This window comes from Homo sapiens, chromosome 21 (assembly GCF_000001405.40).
Source record: "Homo sapiens chromosome 21, GRCh38.p14 Primary Assembly".
Classification (NCBI taxonomy): domain Eukaryota; kingdom Metazoa; phylum Chordata; class Mammalia; order Primates; family Hominidae; genus Homo; species Homo sapiens.
In genome coordinates, this window is record NC_000021.9 from 39389378 (window position 1) to 39413301 (window position 23924).

A 23924-nucleotide genomic window follows, 5' to 3' on the forward strand; every position below is an offset into this window, starting at 1 on the left:
TACAAGAGATCCTCCCACCCCGGCCTCCAGAGTGTTAGGGTTGCAGGCCGAGCCACCATGCCAGGCTGAGGCATCTTTCTAAGTGTCTTTGTTGAAAGTGAGAAGACTGGCTTCCGTTACTCTCAATATGTTTATTTCTGTGATCACCCTTTTGTAATTAATCTCTGGTGTCCACCGCCCACTGTTACCCAAGTGAATGCATGCCTCTCCCCACCTGGGCTCCGACCCTGGCAGGGTTCCTTCTTGTCTTGTATGTCTGTCTCCCTCACCCTACAGACCCTGACTCCTGTGTCAGGCTGCCCTTTCTTGGGGACCCCTGTATCACCATGCCTGGCCCTGATGCCTCTTGCCAGGGTGCCATTCTGTGGGAAGGCCCTCTGCACTGAGCTTGGGCACTGACATTCTGCCCTGGGCCCCTGCCTCACCACTGTTACCCTGCACCTGCACCTTGCTCTGCCCCGTCTAATCTAGGACTGAATTCTTCTGGGAGGGGAGAGGTTACATGTTCCCTGTCACTGGAATAACAGCTCTGGTGATGGAATTGGTTTTCATTTCACAATTGCAATTTTATTTATAGTGAAACAGACAAACATTTGTATTGGAGCAAATTCATGGGCATATCTGTAAAAGGAAAAATATAGTTTGAATAGCAATTTGAATATGAGTTTTTTTTTTTTTTTTTTTTGTGGTCGTTATAGGGAGCCGAAAAAGGCAGCAGAGGCTGGCTGTGTAGGTAGAGGGCAGCTTGCCCAGTTGGCAGAGGTGGGAGTAGGATGTTGGAGGAAGGTGTACCGGTTCTGTCTGGCCAAACCCATGCTGGAGTCACCTCAAAAGCAGTGGCAGGGGAGTTCCCTCAAGGGGCTGCTCCAGACTGCCTGGAGATGGGGCTGGCTTGGATTCCAAAGAAAGAAGCACTAAACGCCAGGGTGATAAGTCCACAGCATTCATGACGGGAACTTACAAGAGCTGCGGCAGTCCCGGGACAGCCAGTGAGAGAAAGGGACATTTACCTAGGGCTGTCTGCCACCCGGGGGTTGGGGTATGGAGTGTATGTGGGAGTTTAAGGACTTTGTCATGGTGGGGCTAGTTTGTAGGTGTTTCTCAGCAGGATGAATCTCCCAGTGTTCTCCAGCAACAGCCTTTGCTCTTTATCAGTCCTGGGAACGTTCACGGCCGCAGTTTGCATTCAGTCCTGCAGGGACGCACACAACTGGCTGGGTCACAGAGTGGTCAGGGCATAGACAGAAAGTAGCGGGGGACTGGGGAACCCTCCTGTGACCCGTGTTGGAAGGTGCTGATCCCCGTTGTCCGCCCTGCCAGATGTCCAGGGTGCTGCAGAAGGACGCGGAGCAGGAGTCACAGATGAGAGCGGAGATCCAGGACATGAAGCAGGAGCTCTCCACAGTCAACATGATGGACGAGTTTGCCAGATATGCCAGGCTGGAAAGAAAGATCAACAAGATGACGGATAAGCTCAAAACCCATGGTACTGTGTCCCTTGCAGCCTGGAGGCTTCATGAGAGCGGATGAATAGAGAAGTCTGTATGTGAAGATTAGTAGAATACATACTTTGCTTCTTGGATGTTCTGAATATTGATGGAAACTTAAGTTATCTGGAGGAAACTCAGTAATAAGTATTACTTTCCTCTTATTTGCTGGTGAACCTTTGCTTTCTAAGCACAGAAATATCTAAGATCCTCTCAGATTTTCCTCAGAGCCAACTCTTTAAAATTTTAAGCTAACTCTTAAAAATTGTAGGTTTTCATTTTTAAATTCATCACTTTTCTGAGAGAAGCCCAGAAAAAAAGTCTCACAGTGGATTCCCAGAGGCTTTTGTTCCACTCTCTAGAAAAATGCCCAGCAGTGTCCTCTTCTGAGTGTCACCTCCCGGGTCCAGTGTCCTGTGATGAAGAGCGCTTTCTCAGGGCAGCCCGTGTGCTGAGGGACCCCGGTCACAGTGTGTGCACAGTCAGAGAGCTGTCTCTGTGGCTAGGAAAACAGACAGAGGGGCCTGTCCAGGCCCAGGACAAGCTGGACTCCCACCAGGGGTTCGTGTACTGTGCACACTGGGAAATAAGGAGGAAAATTTAGTCCTGTTGGTAAGTGGTAACTGTATTATACAAAGAATCTTTGATTTCATGAGTCGTTTTAAGAGTTTTCAAAATTAAAGCTATTCAAATCTCAATCTGAGTCGGATACTATTTTAAATAATGGCATAATGAGATGGTGGGTGACTTAAAAATTCTATTTTATATTTTCTAAATATGTTGAGCGATTGTTCCATTTATAATCAGAAAGTGTATTATAAGGGAAAATAACATTTCTGTGTATTTGAATATTTTGTTAATTTTTCAGGACTGACATAATTATTTATCCTGTTTTTCCTTTCAGTGAAAGCTCGGACAGCTCAATTAGCCAAGATAAAATGGGTGATAAGTGTCGCTTTCTACGTATTGCAGGTAAGTGTGCTAGAGCGTCAGCCGGGTCATTGGAGTTGGTGACCCCGGCCTCCAGAGCCGTGTCTGCAGATCCAGGGCTGGGAGTTCGGGCTGTTCCACCTTCAGCTGTCGTGTCGTGTGTCCCTGCCCACATGGAGCTCTAAACACTCTCGGTCTCTAAGTCAGACTAAAAGGAAGCCTTTCTCTTGAGGAGAGTTGTTAAAGTTTGGGACTTTTTGGCAGATGGACTGTGAAGTAAGTTCTCGGAGAGCTTTCACCATGCCTGCATCCCAGTGTGGTTTGAAGGGCCTGGTGGGATGAAGCGAGAGGCTTATAGATGACATCAGTTTTTTCTGAGATCTTCAATACTTTTGGCCCTTACTTGTTACCTGGTGTACTTCATGCACGCTCTCCACCCTCCAGGTAGAGAACCAGCTTTTCCGACTGGAATTGGCTTCTAGCCTCCCTGCCTGGGGCTTAACCCTCATAGCCTCTCCTGGAGCTGTTGGGCTCTGCTCTGCCCCGAGAGTGCAGTTGTGCTGCCCAGACACCTTTAGCAGCTGCCGTAAATATCCGAGTTGCAGTACCATGTGATCCGGTAACCAAGGCAAAGGATTCAAGCCCACCCCCAAAAAAGCTTAGTTTGGCAGGGTATATTGAAGGAAATTAATTCTGAGGCACTGTCATTTGCTAAGAGATAAGTTTCCGCAGACAAAGGAGTTAGGCCAGCAACCCTCTTTCATGTCTCTTCTGAGCGGCCTGTTCAAGCCAGGAAGGGGACAGATGACAATCGAAGGAATGCTGTGGGGGGATGGAGGGAAATAAAGCATCCCCCACCATTGAAACTTACACAGGGCTCACCTCTGCGTCCCTTGCTAACACTGGTGTACGTGGGAGAATTCACTATTTTTTCCAAGGATGGCTTTCGTCACTAATAAGGTGTGTTGAGCATACAGTCTGGCTACTCAAACGAGATACTCAGTGAGAAAAGCACACCCGTGTTATGGGAGACTTTGGTTAGTTTATCAGCTAATTTAAATTATGTGTAGATTGTGTTCATCCTAAAACAGTGAAATGCCAGTTCACATAGGAAGGCTCGCCTACTTGTTGGCAGTGTTCAGACATGCTGCTGAGCTCGTCTTTAATTTGACTTTCTCATTCAAGGTTTCACCAAGGGACATTAGTGGCTGTGCGTGCTCATCTGTTGTCTGTGGGGACTGGGTTCCTAGGCTTGAGGTGCTCAGTCTGGAGAGTTTTCCTGGTTTTATTTTCGCATTTCCCTGTCCTCCCTTCTGTGTGGTCGGTTGTGTGATTGGCAGGCTGCTTTGCTCACCAGAGGTGTCTTTACAGGCTGCCCTGATGATCTCACTCATTTGGAAGTATTATTCTGTCCCTGTGGCTGTCGTGCCGAGTAAATGGATAACCCCTCTAGACCGCCTGGTAGCCTTTCCTACTAGAGTAGCAGGTAAGAATTTTCTGGAAGATGCAGTGGAAGAGTGTGAATAGGCTTATGTAGAGGTGTGTGGTAGAAGATTAAGTTAGCCTGACATCCTCCTCACCGTCCATTTAGTGAGCGGGGTTTTGTGTCTCAGCCTCACATGAGGCTTCCCATGAAGAAACTGAGGTCTGAAAAAGTTACTTCACTTGTCCAGTGTCACCAAAATGTTAAGGAGCAAAGCTAGGATTCAGTCCTAGGTCTGTTTCCGGGATCCATGCCCAATACGTCAAGTCTGATACCCCATTGAAACACTAGCCGTAGTTCCAAAATTATGTATCTTTTCAATCCCTATTATGGTTGGCTTCTCTGTAGCACTTGCTGCTCCTGGCTATTCTTTTATTTTTTATTTTTTGAGACTGAGTCTCACTCCGTCACCCAGGCTGGAGTCAGTGGTGCGATCTTGGCTCACTGCAACAACCTCTGCCTCCCAGGTTCAAGCAATTCTTATGCCTCAGCCTCCCAACTAGCTGAAATTACAGGCATGCACTACCACGCCCAGCTAATTTTTGTATTTTTAGTAGAGACAGCGTTTCACCATGTTGGCCAGGCTGGTCTCAAACTCCTGACCTTAAGTGATCCTCATGCCTTGGCCTCCCAAAGTACTGAGATTACAGGCATGAACCACTATGCCCAGCCACGTTCTTTTATTTTTGAAGATAAATTTTTTTTAGATATTAAAAGTAGTACATGTCACTATAGAATGATTAGAAATATAGCTATCAATTAAAAATCCCAGCTGGGTGCAGTGGCTCACGCCTGTAATCCTAGCACTTTGGGAGGCCAAGGTGGGCGGATTGCCTGAGCTCAGGAGTTTGAGACCAGCCTGGCCAACATGGTGAAACCCTATCTCTACTAAAATACAAAAAATTAGCTGGGCATGGTGGTGCGTGCCTGTAATTCCAGCTACTTGGGAGGCTGAGGTGTGAGAATCACTTGAATCCGAGAGGTTGCAGTGAGCTGAGATCACGCCAGTGTACCCCAGCCTGGGTGACAGAGTGAGAATCTGTGTCAAATAAAATAAAATAAATAAAAAATAAGATTCCTATTAGCTTTTAATGCTGTGATATGTTTTTCTTTGCCTTTTTTTCCCCATTTATTTTGATATAGTTAAGGTCACCTGGCACATCACATGTTGTGCCTCCTTTTTACTTTATAGGGTAAGCCTATTCCCACATGTTTTAGTTTGTTAGGGTTAAGTGAAATACTATAAACTGGGTAGCTCATAAACAACAGAAATTTATTTCTCACTGTTCCGGAGGCTGGGGAGTCCAAAATCAAGGTGCCGGCAGATTTGGTGTCTGATGATGGCCCATTTTCCAGTTCATGGATGGTGTCTTCTCACTATGTCCTTGCATGGTGGAAGGACAAGCTCCTTTAGGCCTCTTTTATAAGGGCACTAATCCCATTCACACGGACTCTGCCCTTGTGACTTAATCACCTCCCATAAGGCCCCAATTCTTAATGCCATCACTGTGGGGGGTAGCATATTAGCATATGAATTTTAGGGGGATACAAACATTCAGACCATAGCACCATATCAGTACATTTCTTTTCTTTTTTTTCTTCTCTTTTCTTTTTGAGGCAGGGTCTTGCTCTGTTGCCCAGGCTGGCAGTGGCACCCTCATAGCTCACTACAGCCTGGAACTCCTTGGCTCAAGCGGTCCTCCCACCTTAGTCTCCTGAATAGTTAGGATCACAGTTGCACACCACCATGCCCAGCTAATTAAAAAAAAAAGTTTTTTATAGAGATGGGGTCTTGCTTTGTTGCTTAGGTTGGTCCCAAACTCCTGGCATCAAGCAATCCTCCCTCCTCAGCCTCTCAAAGTGCTGGGATTATAGGTGTGTCACCTTGCCTGGCAAATTTCTTTATTAAGGAATTTTCAGTAGCTGTTCTTCATTTAGATATCTCATTTGCAGATTTTCCTGATGAAGGATATTTATTCCGGTCCTGATTTTTTGCTATTAAAGATAATGCTGCAGCACACATACTTGCTGGTCTTTGGTTGTGATTTGTGATTATGTTAGAGGTGAATACTGTATCAAAAGGAATGACTATTTTTTTTTTTTTTAAGACCGAGTCTCACTCTGTCGCCCAGGCTGGAGTGCAGTGGTGTGATCTCTGCTCACTGCAACTTCCACCTCCCAGGTTCAAGTGGTTCTCCTGCCTCAGCCTCCCCGGTAGCTGGGATTACAGGTGCCCACCACACGCCCGACTAGTTTTTGTAGTTTTAGTAGAGACAGGGTTTCACCATGTTGGCCAGGCTGGTCTTGAACTCTTGACCTCAGGTGATCCACCTGCCTTATCCTCCCAAAGTGCTGGGATTACAGGTGTGAGCCACTGTGCCTGGCCAGGAATGGCTGTTTCAAAGACTCCCAATTTAGCTACCACCCCTGTCCCCTTCCCCACCCTTTCCTTCCCCTCTCCTTTGTTTGACACAGCTGGGCCTAGGCCAGGAGCTCTGCACTGCGGCCAGAGAAGCATCCAGCCACCCTTCCATGCATCCAGCAGGTCCATGGGTCACTCTTGCAGCCTGTCTTCCTGGACAGGGGGATATGTATGCCTCTCCATTATTGGTGGGGCAAGAAAGGCATAGGTAGACATTGCTTTGTTTATAATGCTTTCTGAGAAAGGAAAAATAAATAATCTTACAGGTTTGGTTTTGGAATCTATTAATATCATAAATAGTAATGCACATCTCTCTGGCAGGAAAGGGAAATTCAGCCCAGGGTCCACCGTTCACTGCAATTCCTGCTTAGTAAAGAATACAGCCCTATGATTCTATAGAAAGTGACAAATTCGGGCTGGGAATGGTGGCTCACACCTGTAATCCCAGCACTTTTGGAGGCCGAGTTAGGCAAATCATCTGAGGTCAGGAGTTTGAGACTAGCCTGACCTACATGGTGAAACCGTGTCTGTACTAAAAATACAAAATTAGCCGGGTGTCGGCCGGGTGCGGTGGCTCATGCCTGTAATCCCAGCACTTTGGGAGGTCGGGGCGGGCAGATCATGAGTTCAGGAGATCGAGACCACGGTGAAACCCCATCTCTACTAAAAATACAAAAAATTAGCCGGGTGCGGTGGCGGGCGCCTGTAGTCCCAGCTACTCGGGAGGCTGAGGCAGGACAATGGCGTGAACCCGGGAGGTAGAGCTTGCAGTGAGCCAAGATCGCGCCACTGTACTCCCACCTGGGTGACAGAGCGAGACTCTGTCTCAAAAAAAAAATTAGCCAGGTGTGGTGGTGCACACCTGTAATCCCAGCTACTCGGGAGGCTGAGGCAGGAGAATCGCTTGAGCCCGGGAGGCAGAGGTGCAGTGAGCCGAGATCGCACCATTGCACTCCAGCCTGGGGGACAGAGCGAGACTCCGTCTCAAAAAAAAAAAAAAAAAAAGAAAGTGACAAATTTGAACCTATGAAACATAAACTTCACTTCAGCCCAGCACTGCTCAAAAAGAATGGAAATACTCTCTTTGCTGTGAGTTAAAGACAGCAGAGACAGATGGGGGCAGCACTGCTGGTATGCGCTCTCATGGTGAATGTCTTTGTTTTCAGGTGGTGTTGGAATTACCTGTTGGATTTTAGTCTGTAACAAAGTTGTCGCTATTGTGCTTCATCCGTTCAGCTGAACAGGAGGATGGATACAGCCGCGAGGCTAAAAAACGGATTTCCTCTTCCTAGCTTAAAATCTGATTTACACTGTTTTGTTTTTTAAGAAACAAAAGTGCATAGTTTAGATTTTTTTTTTGTTGAATATGTTTGTTCTTGGACTTTATGAGAGAGTCTTATAAGAATCACGATTTTCTACACCTGTCATTGAGCCAAGAAAGTCCAGTTTATGACACGTATGTACTAGTGAACACCGTCCTCGATCTGTACGAAATGTGAAATGTTTAGGGACATCTCCATGCTGTCACTTGTGATTTGCCCTCTTATGTATTTTGGTCATATTGCCAACTGGAAAGTCAAAATTTTCTAACAACTTTAAGTAAGTTCTTTGAAGACTTAGTGCTGTTTTTAATCCAGTTTAGAAAGTAACTTAATTTTAATACCACTACTAAAAATTCGAAAATTTCTTCTTTAATCACATTCAATATGGTTAAAAGAACAACACTAATTGACATTGCGTGGGCTTTTTCTCCCTTTGTTTAAAATGTCATTTGTTGAGCAAGAGTTGTATAGTATTATCTACTTACTTGAGGCTGTTAATTTTTCATTACAGTGTTTTGTAAATGTATCCACGAGACCATGATGCATTGTTTTGTGCTCAACTTGTGTTTTGTATTTAAAGCATTTTGAATGAAGTGTATTTTATAAGCATTTAATATTTATGCTCTTTAGAATGGAACACAGAAAACAAACCTTATAAGTCCTGATTAATCTGAACCAATAACCTGTGTGGCCTACAAAGTATAATTCTATTAAATGTTCCTTAAAACACTTTTTTCTAATTAAAATCTTTGCAAATGCTTGTGTAACTTCCTGCCTTACAGCTACTTGTTTGCTGTGAGCCACCCGCAACTGACAAGTGGCTGTTAACTGAGTCACCATATCCCAGTAAAGCTGAATTTTCTCACTAGTTTCTGCAAGTTCATATTTGTACTCTTTTGTTTCCTAATGATCTAATAAGTAGTTTGTTGTTATTTTAGCTGATTGGACTGTGAGAAGACAAAGTGCTGTGGTCCTTTATTTATTGTCATGCTGAAGGCCACCACAGCAGCTTTTGGGTTCCACTTACTCAAACACACATGCACGCAGGCTTACCCAGCACCAAGTTTACTTAGCTTTAAGAAAGGACAGAGCAGGGAACGCAGCCACAGCCTGGTGGAGGAACTGGACACCAGCTTCCAGTGTCCGTCACCACACGGGATACATTTTGCCCACAAAGGATGAGAAGCCAACCTGGGGAGGAGATGAGAGTAGCACACGGAAGCTGCAGGAACTAGTCCTTCAGACGAAATATAGCACCAAGGGGGCACGTGCCTAACTCCCGTTTTAGTAAGCTGCAGGCAGAAATGATGGTGGACAGTCAACAGTGCACCGGCCATGTAGAGCGTGCCCAGGGAACTGCTGGGATCACTCATCCGCATACAGTGTCCATGATGATACCCGTATCTCTTAAAGATATTCTCATTCAGTTGTTACAAGAATTTTGACAAATCTCACTGAGGCTAGAGGTAAAAATTTCTGGTTCACAGCTATTAACTTTCCCCATGCGTGAATAGTTTGTGATGATTAAATAGGGGAAATGTAAATGTCCTTTATGTTTCACATTATTGTGTTTTTTTAGAAATTATACAGTTTTTTTTTTTTTTTTTTTGAGATGGGAGTCTTGCTCTGTCACCCAGGCTGGAGTGCAGTGGTGTGATCTCGGCTCACTGCACCCTTTGCCTCCTGGGTTCAAGTGATTCTCTTACCTCAGCCTCCCAAGTAGCTGGGATTACAGGCGCCCGCCGTCACGCCCAGCTAATTTTTGTATTTTTAGTAGAGACAGGATTTGGCCAGGTTGGTCTTGAACTCCTGACCTCAGCTGATCCACCCGCCTCGGCATCCCAAAGTGCTGGGATTACAGGCGCCCGCCATGACGCCCAGCTAATTTTTGTATTTTTAGTAGAGACAGGATTTCACCATGTTGGCCAGGTTGGTCTCGAACTCCTGACCTCAGCCGATCCACCCGCCTCGGCCTCCCAAAGTGCTGGGATTACAGGCGCAAGCCACCGCGCCCGGCCTGCCATTTGTTTTAACAGATGATGAACACGGTGATGAATTCAGAAGATAGAGAAAGAGCTACAGTAAATGTGCATCTTACGACTCTTGTCCCCCAATTTCCCAAAGTTTTCCTCTGTTAACAGTTTTTTATGATTCTGCCAGTGATATTCCATGCATTTATGAATATTCATGCATGTGCTTTTAAGACATGTTTTAAAGGTATAAAAATAATACCTAAAAAGACAAAAGTAGTACCTATTTACTGTTTTTTTTTAAAAATGGAACTTGGGAAGTACAGAAAAGCAGCAAGGAAGAAAAACCTATGACTCCATAGAACTAGGGTGACTGGCGTTAGCATCTGTGCTTTTGTTTTTTGCATATATGTGTGTATAATGTTGAAAGGTAATGATAGGTTTATTTTTTTTAAATTTATTTTATTTTTTGAGATGGAGTTTTGCTCTGTCGCCCAGGCTGGAGTGCAGTGGCGCGATCTCGGCTCACTGCAACCTCTGCCTCCTGGGTTCAAGTGATTCTTCTGCCTCAGCCTCCCGAGTAGCTGGGACTATAGGCTTGCACCATGACGCCTATTTTTTGTATGTTTAGTAGAGATGGGGTTTCACTATGTTGGCCGGGCTGGTCTTGAACTCTTGACCTCAGGTGATCCACCTGCCTCAGGCCCCCAAAGTTGGGATTACAGACCTGAGCCACCACGCCCAGTGGGTTTTTGTTTTTATTTTAAAAATACTGGATATATTTTATAGCTTCACGTGAAAGCAGGTATCTCTTTGATTTAAAATACATCTAAAGCTCTCTTCATACCGATTTTGTCATAAATTTATGGTAAATCAAGCAGGGAAATTTTTAAATATACAAATCCATAATCTTTTTTTAATTTTTTTTTTTTTTTTAAGTAGAGACAGGGTCTCACTATGTTGCCCAGGCTGGTCTCAAACTCTTGGGCTCAAGTGCTGGGATTACAGGTGTGAGCCACCATGCCCAGCCCATAATCAATTTTTATTCATTTTATGTGCTGTTGCCACCATAAGGGGCTGGAATGCTAGGCAAACTGGTTTACTGTCCCCTGACCTGGGGGGGCTCTCTGGCCTTCCATAGTTTTTCTTACACAGTGCATCATGGGAGAGGTGTGTGTGTGTGTGTGTGCACGCGCACGTGCTGACAGCCCCCCGGAACCGGAGCTTTAGACTTAAAGCTTTCTCCCTTATGGTGGTGGTTTCCTTTCTTTCCCATCCTCATCTGAGCATTTAAAATACTATCTGTATGACTGATTTGTTGTGTCTGCTGTTGTGGTTTTGTTTCTCTTGTTGTAGATCCTTGTTTTGTGTGTGATAAAAGGTTATTTCAGTGATGACGCAAGTGCCTTTAGGGCCAGAGACTATTCCTTGAGCTTTTCTGTACTCCTCCTGCATGCCTTCAGTCAGTACCCAAGAGTATTTAACTCACAATCACATAATGGTTTTCCACTAGAGCCGTGTATGGAGTCTGTTTTCTTTGCAGTTGAAATGTTAGCAATTAACAACCGTCAGGAGAATTTTCTAAGTGCTGCTCTCTTATAAGGCCTGCGGTATGGAGCACTTTGATGACATCTCAGATTCAAAGCCATGTGTGACTGGTTTGAACACCATTGGAATCCCAGGCCAGGCAGCTCATCCTGTCTCTGGACCCAGGGTTCTTGTGTGGGTCGGCTTTCCTGCATGCATCTTTGGGTTCTAATGCGTATCAATCTATTGACACGCAGAGTGCTGACTCTTACTAGTGAATTCAATCATAAATAGCATGAATATTGTGTAGTTTTAGCCAATATTGTGGGAAAGGATATTGGACTCTAAAGGGTAGGGTAATCATTCCTTTATGTTGGCCAAATTCTTTTCCTGTATTTTTTTTTTTTTTAGAGACAGGGTCTCATTCTGTCACCCAGGCTGGAGTGCAGTGACATGATCATAGCTCACTACAACCTCGTGCTCCTGGTCTCAAGTGATCCTCCAGCCTTGGCCTCCTGAGTAGCTGGGATTACAGGCATGCGCCACCATGCCTGGCTGTTTCTCATTTTTTATTTTTGTAGAGAGGAGGGTCTGACTGTGTTCCCAGGTTGGTCTCGAACTCCTGGACTCAAGTAATCCTCCTGCCTCAGCCTGCTAAGTAGGTGGGACAATAGGTGTGTACCACAACTTTGGACTAATTTTTAAATTTTTGTAGAGACGGGGTCTTGCTATGTTGCCCAGGCTGGTTTCAAACTCCTGGCCTTAAGTGATCTTCTGCCTCAGCTTCCCAGAGTGCTGTGATTACAGGTGTGAGCCACTGTGTCCAGCCATTTTTCCTGAGTCTTTTTAAAAAATAGTTTTTATTAAATATTGAGAGGTATAAAATATTTAAAATATGTAAATTTTAAAGAATAAAAATACAATACAAATCTTTGTATCTTTCACCCAAGTTTTAGAAGAACCTTTGCGATCCCCACTGAGTAAAGGTAACACCACTGCTCTGAATTTTATCATTTCCTATTCGTCAGAGTTGTATCACATACTTGAATCTGTAAAAATACATTGTTTGGTTTCTCATGCTTTTCAGCACGCAGACATGTCTGTTTTTTTGCGCTTCACTTTACTGTGCTCTGTAGAGACTATATTTTTCACAAATTGAAGGTCTGTGGCAACCCTGCATCGAGCAAGTCTGTCAGCGCCGTTTATCCACAGCATGTGCTCACTTTGTGTGTGTGTGTCACGTTTTGGTAGTTCTCATAACATCTCATATTTTTTCGTTATTATATGTTATGGTGGTCTGTGATCAGTGATCTTTGATGTTACTACTGTAATTGTTTTGGGGCATCAAGAACTACACCCGTATGAGGCAGCAGATTTAATGTATAAATGTGTGTGTGCTGACTGCACCACTGACTTGGCCATTCCCGTCTCTCCCCCTTCCCCAGGGCTCCCTATTCCTTAAGACACAAAAATGTTGAAATTAGGGCAACATTGGCCCCTAATTTCAATAATAATGATGACCTCTAAATGTTCAAGTGCAAGGAAGAGTTGCGTGTCTTTCGTGCTAGCTTTTATTTTATTTAATTAATTAATTAGTTTATTTGAGATGGAGTCTTGCTCTGTCACCCAGGCTGGAGTGCAGTGGCATGATCTCGGCTCACAGCAACCCCTGCCTCCTGGGTTCAAGCGATTCTCCTGCCTCAGCCTCCCGAGTAGCTGGGATTACAGGCGTGCACGACCACACCTGGCTAATACTTGTATTTTTAGTAAGAGACGGGGTTTCACCATGTTGGCCAGGCTGATCTCGAACTCCTGGCCTCAAGTGATCTGCCTGCCTCGGCCTCCCAAAGTGTTGGGATTACAGTCTTGAGCCACCTGTAAAGAGTCTGAGTTCTTTACTTACAATCTTTTAGTTCACTGAGCTGGAGACCCCAGGGAGGTCCCAGCATTGTATGGAAAACGGACCCCCTAACTTGGGCTGCCTGGGTTTTGTCCTCAGGAGGAGTCTGTGTTGCTCAGACATATTCGGCAAATGCCCTTTAGGCAGAAGCTTACTTTAGTGCTTTGCTTACTTATCTCCTTGGGTGCCTAATTTCTTTTCGTGTTTACCAGCTGAGCAGCTGATTTAGAAACGTTTTCTATAGTTGGTACAGCATTTTTAGCTTTTGTTACAGCAAGAGTGTTGGAGTACCTTCTCTCTCAGAGCTCAGGAAATGGATTTGTTTTTAAAAATCTTTTTTCCATGATCGTAAAGTTATGTTCATCATAGCAAACATGCGAAAGAAAGCCAGAGTAGAAAACACTAAAAGTAAATTAAAAATTGGCCCCAATCTCATAATACTCAGAGATAAAAAGTTAGCATGTTAATCTGTTACCCTCTAACTTTTTTATTCATACAGTTAAGATGACTAGACAACAACAGGCTTAGATTGTATTTTTATTAAATTAGTTCTCTACACTTCTAAATATAGCTCTGATTTAATATCACGATGTGTGCTTTCATTGTGGGTGGGCATAAGAAAAGATCCCTTGGAAAATCCTCTGTCTGCTATGAAGCTGGAGTAGACACTGTCATGTTACTCAGCATACCATTTCCAGGAGTCCTTTTAATACATTTCTCCGGAATTGAGGCCACTATGTCATCTCACTTAATTTGCGTATTTCCCCTTATGAGCCTGTGAGAGCTCTCCCTCCCTGCCTCCCTTACTCCTTCCGTCCTCTTCTTTTCTATGTTATTCCACCTTGCTTTTCATAAACGATCAAAGCATATGCCAATTGTAGTATTTATCTCATCTTTGGTTTTATTATTTTTTAATTAATTAGTTTGACACGGAGTCTCGCTCTGTTGCCCAGGCTGGAGTGCAGTGGTGCGATCTCGGCTCACTGCAAGCTCCGCCTCCCGGGTTCACGCCATTCTCCCGCCTCAGCCTCTCCAGTAGCTGGGACTAAAGGCGCCGCCACCACGCCCGGCTAATTTTTTGTTATTTTTAGTAGAGACGGGGTTCACCGTGTTAGCCAGGATGGTCTCGATCTGACTTCATGATCCGCCCGCCTCGGCCTCCCAAAGTGCTGGGGTGAGCCACCGCTCCCGGTCTACTATTTTTATTTTTATTTTTTTTTTGAGATGGAGTCTCACTCTGTCGCCCAGGCTAGAGTGCAGTGGCGGGATCTTGGCTCACTGCAACCTCTGCCTCCCAGGTTCAAGCAATTCTCCTGCCTCAGCCTCCTGTGTAGCTGGGACTACAGATGCTGGCCACCACGCATGGCTAATTTTTGTATTTTTAGTAGAGACGGGGTTTCACCAAATTGGTCAGGCTGGTCTCGAACTCCCGACCTCAGGTGATCGCCCGCCTCAGCCTCCCAAAGTGTTGGGATTACAGGCGTGAGCCACTGCGCCCGGCTCTATTTTTATTTTTATATTTTTTGAGACAGGGTCTTGCTCCTTCGCCCAGGCTGGAGTGCAGTGGCACGATCCTGGCTCACTGCAACCTCCTCCCAGGTTCAAGCGATTCTCCTGCCTCAGCCTTCCGGGTAGCTGCCATTACAGTTAATATTACACACCAACACATAAACATCATTGGAAAGGAAATAGTATGGTCTAGATTATAAACAAGTTGCCCTTATAACTAAATGAAGTAAGCTAAATAAAGTGAGGCTGGGAGTATAGCCTCCTTTTTACAGTCCTAATTTAAAATATCCTAAGTTTAGTAAATATATTAGTTAGGACTGAGCAGCTAGCTCGAATAAACACCAGCAGGGCCATGGTACTGTTTTATGGTTTTTAGAACAAGGTTAACAGAAAAATGGTCAACATACAGGTATGCAACAAATCTCAATAAATGATACTGGATCTCAGGTGTACACAAGGAAAGCATCACCCACAAAGGCAGGACATTGGATACCCAGGTTAGCTGAATAAGAGAAACTCAAAAATGATTTTCATGGCTGGGCACGGTGGCTCACGCCTGTCATTCCCAGCACTTTGGGAGGCTGAGGTGGGCAGATCACCTGAGGTCAGGAGTTCAAGACCAGCCTGGCTAACATGGCAAAACCATTTTTAGTCTCTAATAAAAATAGAAAAATTAGCTGGGTGTGGTGGTGCATGCCTGTAATCCCAGCTACTCTGTAGGCTGAGACACGAGAATCGCTTGAACCCCGGCAGGGCGGAGGTTGCAGTGAGCCAAGATTGTTATCACTGCACTCCAGCCTGGGTGACACACTGAGACACTGTCAAAAAAAAAAAAAAAAAAAAAGATTTTCATGAAACTAAGCTTGGTAATCACTATATATATACACACATACATACATATATGTATTTTTTTTTTTTTTTGAGATGGAGTCTCGCTCTGTCACCCAGGCTAGGGTGCAGTGGTGTTATTTTGGTTCACTGCAGCCTCTGCCTCCTGGGGTTCCAGCGATTCTCCTGCCTCAGCCTCCTGGGTAGCTGCCATTACAGGCATGTGCCACCACACCCAGCTGATTTTTTGTATTTTTAGTAGAGACAGGGTTTCACCATGTTGGCCAGGCTGGTCTCAAACTCCTAACCTCAGGTGATCCACCTACCTCGGTCTCCCAAAGTGTTGGGATTACTGGCGTGAGCCATGGCACCCAGCCTATTTTTTTTTTTTAGTAAAAAGAGTCTTTTGATCATATTGTTCCCTTTCAAAGCTGCTGCCACATTTTGTTTTTATTTTTTGAGACACGGTCTCACTCCGATTGCCCAAGCTAGAGTGCAGTGGCACGATCATGCTCACTGAAGCCTCGACCTGGGCACAAGTGATTCTTTGACCTCAGCCTCCCAAGTAGCTGGGACTACAGGCACACACCACCACACCTGGCTAATTCTTATAATTTTTGTAGAGACGGGGTTGTACCATGTTGGCCAGGCTGGTCTTAAACTCCTGGACTCAAGTGATCCTCCCACCTTGGCCTCCTAAAATGCTGGGATTACAGGCAAGAACCACTGCATCTGGCCTGCTTCCATGTTTTTAAGTTACAATTCAACTCTATTGCTGATAAATTTTGTTGTGTAGGAGATGCATGTCTTGGGTTGACTAACTTAAGAGTTACTAGCTATGGAGTCCCACAGAATACTAAAACCATATAGTAAACCAGTCTTCCAGAAGATAATGGATGTTTCAGTTGTAAAGATGTAAATTTGTATTTGAAGTGTTATCATTGGCTAATATAAAATAGATTTTTTACTAGATTAGCAATCAAACAAAAATTTAATTATCGAAAGTCAATTAAGTACTAAAACACACACATACATACACTCCCTCTCTCACACATTTCAAAAATAAGATGCAAGGCACATAAGCAGCATTATATCAAACCAGAATGCATTAGGATATTGATTATATTTAAATAATTATTTTTCTTTTTCCTTCTGTAGGTGACGATGGCTTAATAGAATTTACCACAGTTACTTTAGAGTCTCCGAAAGCATGGCTGGTGGAGGCCTGACTGGGAGGCAGGGGATGCGACTCCTTACTTTGCAAAGGCTCCTCTGAGCCTTTTGCAACACCAGGACTTGATTGGTCAGTTTTCAAGACATAGCCTGATCCAAAGAGTTCTTCCATGAGACTGCTTTTCTTATCTCTGAAAGTTGTATCCTTCACTTTTATTCTGGAAGACTTACCAAATGAGGGCTCATACCCACTGTCAGAATGCTCTAGCTCCATTTCCTCTCTGTTACTGAGATGCTTGCCTGTACTATGACTGTACCTCATGTTGCCGGCATTGGCTGGCCCCCCTGAAGCAGGAAGCCCATGATGCAGGTTTTCAGTTGCTTCTGTGAATGAGTAATGTCTTCTTTGTCTGAGGGGGCCTTTCGTGTAGGGAGCAGTGCCTTTGCCAAGTGTGTCATCCACACCATTTCTCTGCATGCTTCTTTTAAACTTTTCTCTTACTAGAACATCTTCTTGATTGCTTTCTCTTTCAGGATGAATAACTTCAATTATTTTTGGTGGTAGTTCTTGCTCTTCTTTCACAAAAATGTTTTTCTTTTCTTGGTCTTCTTTTTTGTCTTTTTGTCTTCCAGTATTCTCCAGCAGTATTTGGACTTCCAAATGTTTCTCTTCCCCTGATAAATCTATATTAGAAAAATAGGCAATTTAGTGCTGTTTAAAATGAATGGATCTCTATTTCAAGATGGCATGTCTAGTACACTTACGTGCACCGCCTCACAAGCACACTGAAATGACAGAAAAGGTAAGAAAATAGATGCATAGACAAAAGATTACAGAGAAAGGTGCTATTAACAAATGTGTTATGTTACAGTTTCTTGGAACTTCCCAAGCAGATGGGAATTATGAAACCAAAAGAAAAATGACATTCATAGAAGAAGAAATAAAATTTGCCAATAAGGTTATTAATAGATGTTTAACATCACTAACTGGACATACTGCCAGTTGAAACAATGATGGCTGGGTGCAGTGGCTCACACCTGTAATTCCGGCACTTTGGGAGGCTGAGGCAGGAGGACTGTTTGAGCCCAAGAGTCTGAGACCAGCCTGGGCAACATAGCGAAACCCTGTCTCTACAAAAAATACAAAAATTAGCTGGGTGTGGTGGTGTCTGCCTGTAGTCTTGGCTACTCAGGAGGCTAAGGTGGGAGGATCACTTGAGCCCAGGAGGACAAGACTGCAGTGAGCCGTGACTGTGCCACTGCATACCAGCTTGGGCAACAGAGCAGAGCTGTTTCAAAACAAAACAAAACAAAACAGAACAGAAGAACAGAACAGAACAGAACAGGACACAATGAGAACATTTTTCATCCATCCAATTGGCAAATAATTTCTAGAGCTGGTGAGAAGATGGGGAAATTGGAATGTTTGGTCCCCGCTGGTGGGTGTGTTGTTGGTACAGCATTTTTGGATGGCAATTTGGCAGTATCAAGATTTTAGGTGAATATACTCTTAGACCTAACAACTTCTTCTTAGAACGAACCTACAAAAAATAGACAAGGATAAGTGCAACGATGTTCACTGTGGCGTGGGTTAGTAACAATAAAACCTCCTAAACATCTGCCAAAGGAATAATGGTTAAATAAGGTATGGCACGTGCAGTCTGTGGAATTCCAGGCAGTTATTATAGACAATGAGCTGGATCCATGTGAACTGATGGGGAAGGATGTTCCCACTACAGAATATAAGCACATGAGGGCAGGGTTTTGCATTTGCTTCCTCCTGTCTCCCTAATGCCTAGAACAGTGTCAGACACATAGTGCATGCTCAGAAAGTATTTGTCAAATGAATGGATACACTTTCTAGGACACTATGAATTAGGACAATGGACTGAAAAATAAGCAGAAAATTTAAACACACCAGTGACCACAGTGCAACTGCAACTGACGATCAGTTTCCACCAAACTGCAACAGAGAGAGTGGCTTTGCCGGTGAGTTCTGTCAAACTACTGTGTTATTTAAACATTATTTGGCCTTACAACTAAGGTGAGGCCCTTGGGCCTCTACTGAAGGCCCAATGTGTTCAACAAGGGCTCTCCATGCTGCCTAAGGGAACACATCTGATTTGCAGCCCTGAATGAACTCTGGGACTCATTCATCATGCATGTACTTTCCTCAGAAGTTGCTCTTACCCAGCCTTGCGGGGCTGCAGCCAGATCTCCCACGAGTGGTAATGTAACATGAAAACAATGAGCCACATCTTCAAAATTCCAAAGGAAAATGACCCTCAACCTAGAGTTTCCTATCTAGGCAAGTATTAATCAAGTGTAAGGGCAGAATAATGACACTTCCAGATGAGAGGTATACAAATTTACCTTACCTGCACCCATTTACAAGAAGCTAGTGAAGGTTGTGCTCTTTAAAACATGATGGAATTTACCAAGAAAGAGGAGGACTTGGCTTAGGAAAGAGAAGATCCAGTAGAGAAGGGGAGTGACAGGAATCTGCAGGAAATGATGAAGGGCAATCCCAGGATGTTAGCTGCACACCAGAGATGAGGAGACAGACTAGGACCCCTGCTCCATTAGACCTCCAGGTCCCAAACACCAGGTGAGCCAGGGCCTTGGCCTGTCTTGCCCATGGCTGATGAAGTGTTGTACTCTCTATCAAACCCTGCAGTCTGGGCCAGCTGAGGACTCTCCTTGGAACCCAAAGAAGCAGTTTGTTTCCACCTACTCCCAAGAGCTGAAGGTAAGCTTTGGTGATCTTAGAATAGGAAAATCTGGGCAGCCCGTTCTCTTGGCCCTAGCTCTCTTGGGCCTGCCCAGAAGAGCTCTGCCAGATGCCATGGATCTGAGGGTTTTTCTATCTCCCAGGATGATTCAGGACCTCACCCACTGATTGGGCCCTTGTATATTCAAGGGAGCTGAAGCTGGGGTCCTTTTTCTGGAAGTCTTTATTCAAAAGTGGTAATATTGCCCTTTGCTCAGCTGGATTTGAATAATTTGCTACTCAGTTTTTCAAAGCTGAATATATTATTTAAGGATACTATTATGAAATGAATGTTTGTATTCCTTCCTCCCAAATTTCATATGTTGAAGCCGTAACCCCCAGTATGGCTATATTTGGAGACTGGGTCTTTAAGGAAGTAATTAAGGTTAAATGAGATCACAAGGTTGGGGCCTTCATGACGGAATTAGTGTCCTTATAAAAAGAAACACTGGAGCACTGGTGCTCTCTCCCCGACTCTCCTCGTGCGAGCACTAAGGAAACGCCACATGAAGACATAGTGAGAAGCGGGACATCTAAAGCCAGGAAGAGGGCCTTAACTGAAGCCAAATGCCTAGAACCTTGATCTCGGACTTCCTAGCCTCCAGAACCATGAGAAAATAAATAAGTGTTGTTTAAACCGGCAGTCTGTGGTATTTTCTTATGGCAGCCCAAGCAGACGAATGTAGCTACATATAAAGACAGGGAGCTGTGAGGGAAAGCAAGGGAATGACTGGCCTAAAACCCAAGACGGTGGTGGTTTCTGGTGGGCAGGGCGAGGGGATATGATTGTGAAGGGCCCAAGGGTGTTCCAAGGAGTACTCATCCACTGTTTCTTAAGCAGGCTACTGGGTACATAGGTGTTCCTTTCATTATAATTCTGGAAACGGTTTTATGTTTTTTTTTTAATTTTTTGAGACAGAGTCTCACTCTGTCACCCAGGTTGGAGTGCAGTGGCACGATCTTGGCTCACTGCAACCTCTGCCTCCTGGGTCCAAGCGATTTTCCTGCCTCAGCCTCCTGAGTAGCTGGGATTACAGGCACATACCGCCATGTGCGGTTAAGTTTTGTATTTTTTAGTAGAGATAGGGTTTCACCATGTTGGCCAGGCTGGTCTCAAACTCTTGACCTCAGGTGATCTGCCTGCCTTGGCCTCCCAAAGTGCTGGGATTACAGGTGCGAGCTGCCATGCCCAGCTGTTTTATGTGTGCTTTATATACACATATAGTAATTCACAATTTTAAAGAAATCAGATAAGATAGACTTTAAAGAGTTAAAATTACCTTCATATTTTCTCTTAGAATCCTCTTGCTTTGGTAGTTTATTCACACAGTGAGGAATTTCATGATTTATTTCAGTTGATTTTTCTTTATGATCGATGTTTCCTGTTGCCTTTTTACCCTGTAATTTAGAAAAGCAGCAAAAACACATTTTGGGGGGTCTAGATAACTTAAAATTGCATTTTATTCTAATGACTACAAATACTTTTCACATAGAACAAGTGACTGTAGCCTATTTTTGTTAAGACATGTTTAATCAGACACTGCAAGATTCCAAATTTGCTGTACCTTAGTTGTCAAAGGTGGAACATCTGATTTTTGGGTTCCCTGGTGTCTCATACTTGTGAATGGCAAAATTTTTCTGTCTGCTTGGACTGATTTTGTTGAAGAAACTATGGAACAGGTAGATTATATGTAAGAAACATATTTTACATTTGGATACAATATTGATTTTAAACATAAAATAACTTTTATGCAATGTAATAATAAAGTATACTAAGTATTTTCTAAATATTCAATATATATATAAGCATTTGTTAGTTTCCTGTTTTTCCCTCCAGGGCCCTTGCTTTGTCTTACTTTGGGCCTCACAGTGTTTGAGTATAAAACAAGTAGGTGTTAGGATAAGACATTGTTGCTGTTGGAGGACAAGGCTGTCCTTTGTGGATGGGATTCAGCAAGGTAGACGTGTAATTGTGAGAGGCCAGGCCACCGAGCTATCCTGTGGCGGAGCTCTTGATTATCAGTGGTTAGACTGTCCATGCTGAAGCGCATGACCACTAAATCTAGACTGCACTTTCCTGAAAAGTGAAGGAAATTATATCATTTAAACAACCCCTCGGTTGATTCATTGTCTCTATTATTCTAGATTATAAGCCAGAAGCAAACAAAGGCAGGCAAGGAAATTTGAGGTTGTTGCATCTGGAAGTAAACATGTAGCTACTTCTTCTAATAAAACAGAGGTGAGTATTCCTATGGTACTTCTGAGTCGAATCTGTTGCTGGGAGATTTTGGGGGGAAAGCAGTGCACGTGCTCTTGAAGAAAAGAAGACCTCACCAATGAGAGGTATACACTAATGATAGTGGCATCAATATAGATGAATCTCAAAAACACTATGCTGAACAAAAGCAGCCAGATACAAAAGGGTGCAGCTGTGGGATTCCACTTACATGAAATTCTAGAACAGACAACCTAGGCTATTGTGACCAAAGGAAAGTCAGTGGTTGCCTCGGGTGAGGTAGGGGACTACTGACTGCAGGGGACACGAGGAAACTTCCTGGGGAGGTGGAAATATTCAATATCTTGATTGGGGTGGTGGCTCCATCGGTATAAACATCTGTCAAAACCCACTGAGCTGCGTGCACACTTAAAATGGATGCATTTTATTGAGGTCAAGTATACCCCAATAAAGTTCATTTTGAAAAGCCATACACTGGCTAACAGATACACTTAGAAAGTTCACTTTTTGGCAGACATTTTGCTTCAAGCTGAAGTTATCCTTTTGCTCCACCTGAAGAAAGGACATAAAGGGGTGTGCTGAGGATGGGAGAACGGGAAAGCATTTCTATTCCTTGCTAGCCATGTCACCATCTCAGTCTCGTTATTCTTCTAGAATCACAAAATGTATTTTAATGCCTAATGAAGTGATTTTTGAAAATATCCATTATTTTGTCTATATAAATTAGGAAAATCTGACTAGATACTTAAAAATAGATTTTGAGCAAAAGTAATTAAAACATACCTTTTGGATAGTCCTCTGTGTCATGTAAATTTTTAAGTATTCGATGACTATAGATGTTTTTAATTTCAAGCTCACGATCCTTTTCCTAAAAAGAACCACAAAACCAATTTTTCTATAAATGCTTGCTTTTGTCAACCCTGATTTCTTTTAAAAACAATTTAAATGAGCTCAGTATCCTATGAATAAAATCTGTAGATTTTAGAAGAAACAGAAATAGGCCATATCATCCTATACCATTCCTGACATCGAAAAGTACTAGCTCTTTAAACAAAGTGACACATTATTGTGATCGGGACAGTATTTTTGAAGAGCCTTGCAGGTCAGCTTGTCCACTGTTTTCCTTCTGTCCTGTGGGCCTTGAAGTTTATGAAATATTCTTCTGTACTGTGCATTACAGTAGCCACTAACTATATGTTGTGATTTCATTTAAATGAAAGTAAAACTAAAATTTAGGTCGTCAGCCACACTATTTGTATTTCCAATAGGCGGTCAGCAGCTGTGTGTGACTAGTGACTACAGTATTGGATGGCACAGGTGAACATTTCCACCATCTAATAGAAAGTTCTATGAGACAGGGCTACGTCTAGACAAGGGCCGGGGGGGAAGCCTAGAACAAGGGTATCATTGTTCCATTTTAAATTTCATATTGATTTTTTTGAGTCTTGGCAAAACAGACATTTTGAAACCTTAACTTGTTGAGGAACAAAGAAAGGGTTTTTATTAAATATCAAATGCTCCTTCTTACATGTACACCAGGAGGCAAGAAAGGCTTTGGACTCAAGACCATTGAATTTTAGTAACAACCATGGTTAAGAGAGGTGGGCATATATGAAGTAAGGAGGAAGGAACCCAGGGATGTCAGAGTGTGACAGACGTGCATGTGCACACACACACACACACACGGGGGGTGGGGCGGGGAGAGAGAGCTCTTGTCTCCTTGTGCCCCTTAGGGTCAAATCTATGGGCCAAGGGATATTCAGGGGGTGAGAAACATCTCTGAGGTTTGGGAAAGTCTCAGTGCAAGAGGCCTTGGCGTGGTCCAGGAAAATTGCAAGCCCCTTAAAAAGCGCCTCCCCCGCCGCCCCATTCATCATGGAGCTAAAGTAACATGGTATTGCCCAAGTGTAAGTTAGAAAGGGCTAAATACCCTCTCTAGGCCAGAGATTGTGCTTCCCTTACCCTTGCAACCAGTGGGACCTGTGGAGGGAGCTGCACCTGCCCTGGAGTCCTTAAGGTTACAGATCCAGGTGCTCCCATAGCACAGGCTTTGCAACAGAGAATCTAGCCAGGGATCAGATGGAGGATGCATCTCAGAGCATTTGCATCAACAGTCAGCAGGGGACAATCACCAGGATTTATTTGACCAGACTGAGAAGAGGCCAGGAGTTTTAGCAGCCACATTCAGTACACATCAGACAGGGTCCTGGGAATTTGATTTAAGACTAGTCACTCGTCAGGAGAACCAGCTCTAGAGAGGGGCCAGAGGGCAGAACACAGACCAGAGGCCTCTTTTTCACTCCACCAAGAGTACACATATGTTTTCTCTCATGCCCAGGATGCCATCTCCACTGAGACAGAAGATAG

General features: G+C 43.9%; 3 protein-coding genes across 51 annotated transcripts in view; 2 read left to right on the forward strand and 1 right to left on the reverse strand.

The window, feature by feature from the left end:
- The window catches only part of GET1-SH3BGR (GET1-SH3BGR readthrough), a 135179-nt gene that overhangs the window by 9052 nt on the left and 102203 nt on the right, over window positions 1-23924 (forward strand). For 2 of the 3 annotated variants that reach the window (NM_001317744.2, NM_001350300.2), the window contains exons 2-3: window positions 1321-1486; window positions 2392-2459. In NM_001317744.2, coding sequence (NP_001304673.1) covers window positions 1321-1486; window positions 2392-2459 — 234 coding nt within the window. Of the gene's footprint in view, window positions 1-1320; window positions 1487-2391; window positions 2460-3788; window positions 3904-16536; window positions 16682-17184; window positions 17355-21466; window positions 21561-23924 lie in introns of all 3 variants that reach the window. The other variant, NR_146618.2, reaches the window with a different exon arrangement.
- Window positions 1-23924, forward strand: part of GET1 (guided entry of tail-anchored proteins factor 1) — a 48203-nt gene that overhangs the window by 9052 nt on the left and 15227 nt on the right. For 6 of the 9 annotated variants that reach the window (NM_001350296.2, NM_001350295.2, NM_001350294.2 and 3 more), the window contains exons 2-5: window positions 1321-1486; window positions 2392-2459; window positions 3789-3903; window positions 7489-8512. In NM_001350296.2, the coding sequence (NP_001337225.1) occupies window positions 1321-1486; window positions 2392-2459; window positions 3789-3903; window positions 7489-7562 (423 nt within the window). In that variant the 3' untranslated portion in view covers window positions 7563-8512. Of the gene's footprint in view, window positions 1-1320; window positions 2100-2391; window positions 2460-3788; window positions 3904-7488; window positions 8513-16536; window positions 16682-17184; window positions 17355-18415; window positions 18541-19228; window positions 19301-21466; window positions 21561-23924 lie in introns of those variants that run through there. The other 3 variants (NR_146614.2, NR_146616.2, NR_146615.2) reach the window with 2 other exon arrangements.
- LCA5L (lebercilin LCA5 like) overlaps window positions 16351-23924 on the reverse strand; it is a 40051-nt gene continuing 32477 nt past the window's right edge. For all 39 annotated transcript variants that reach the window (NM_001384292.1, XM_011529470.2, NM_001384287.1 and 36 more), the window contains 4 exons: window positions 22341-22425; window positions 20887-20990; window positions 20602-20719; window positions 16351-17235 (listed from right to left, as the gene is read on the reverse strand). In NM_001384292.1, coding sequence (NP_001371221.1) covers window positions 16505-17235; window positions 20602-20719; window positions 20887-20990; window positions 22341-22425 — 1038 coding nt within the window. In that variant the 3' untranslated portion in view covers window positions 16351-16504. The remainder of the gene's footprint in view (window positions 17236-20601; window positions 20720-20886; window positions 20991-22340; window positions 22426-23924) is intronic.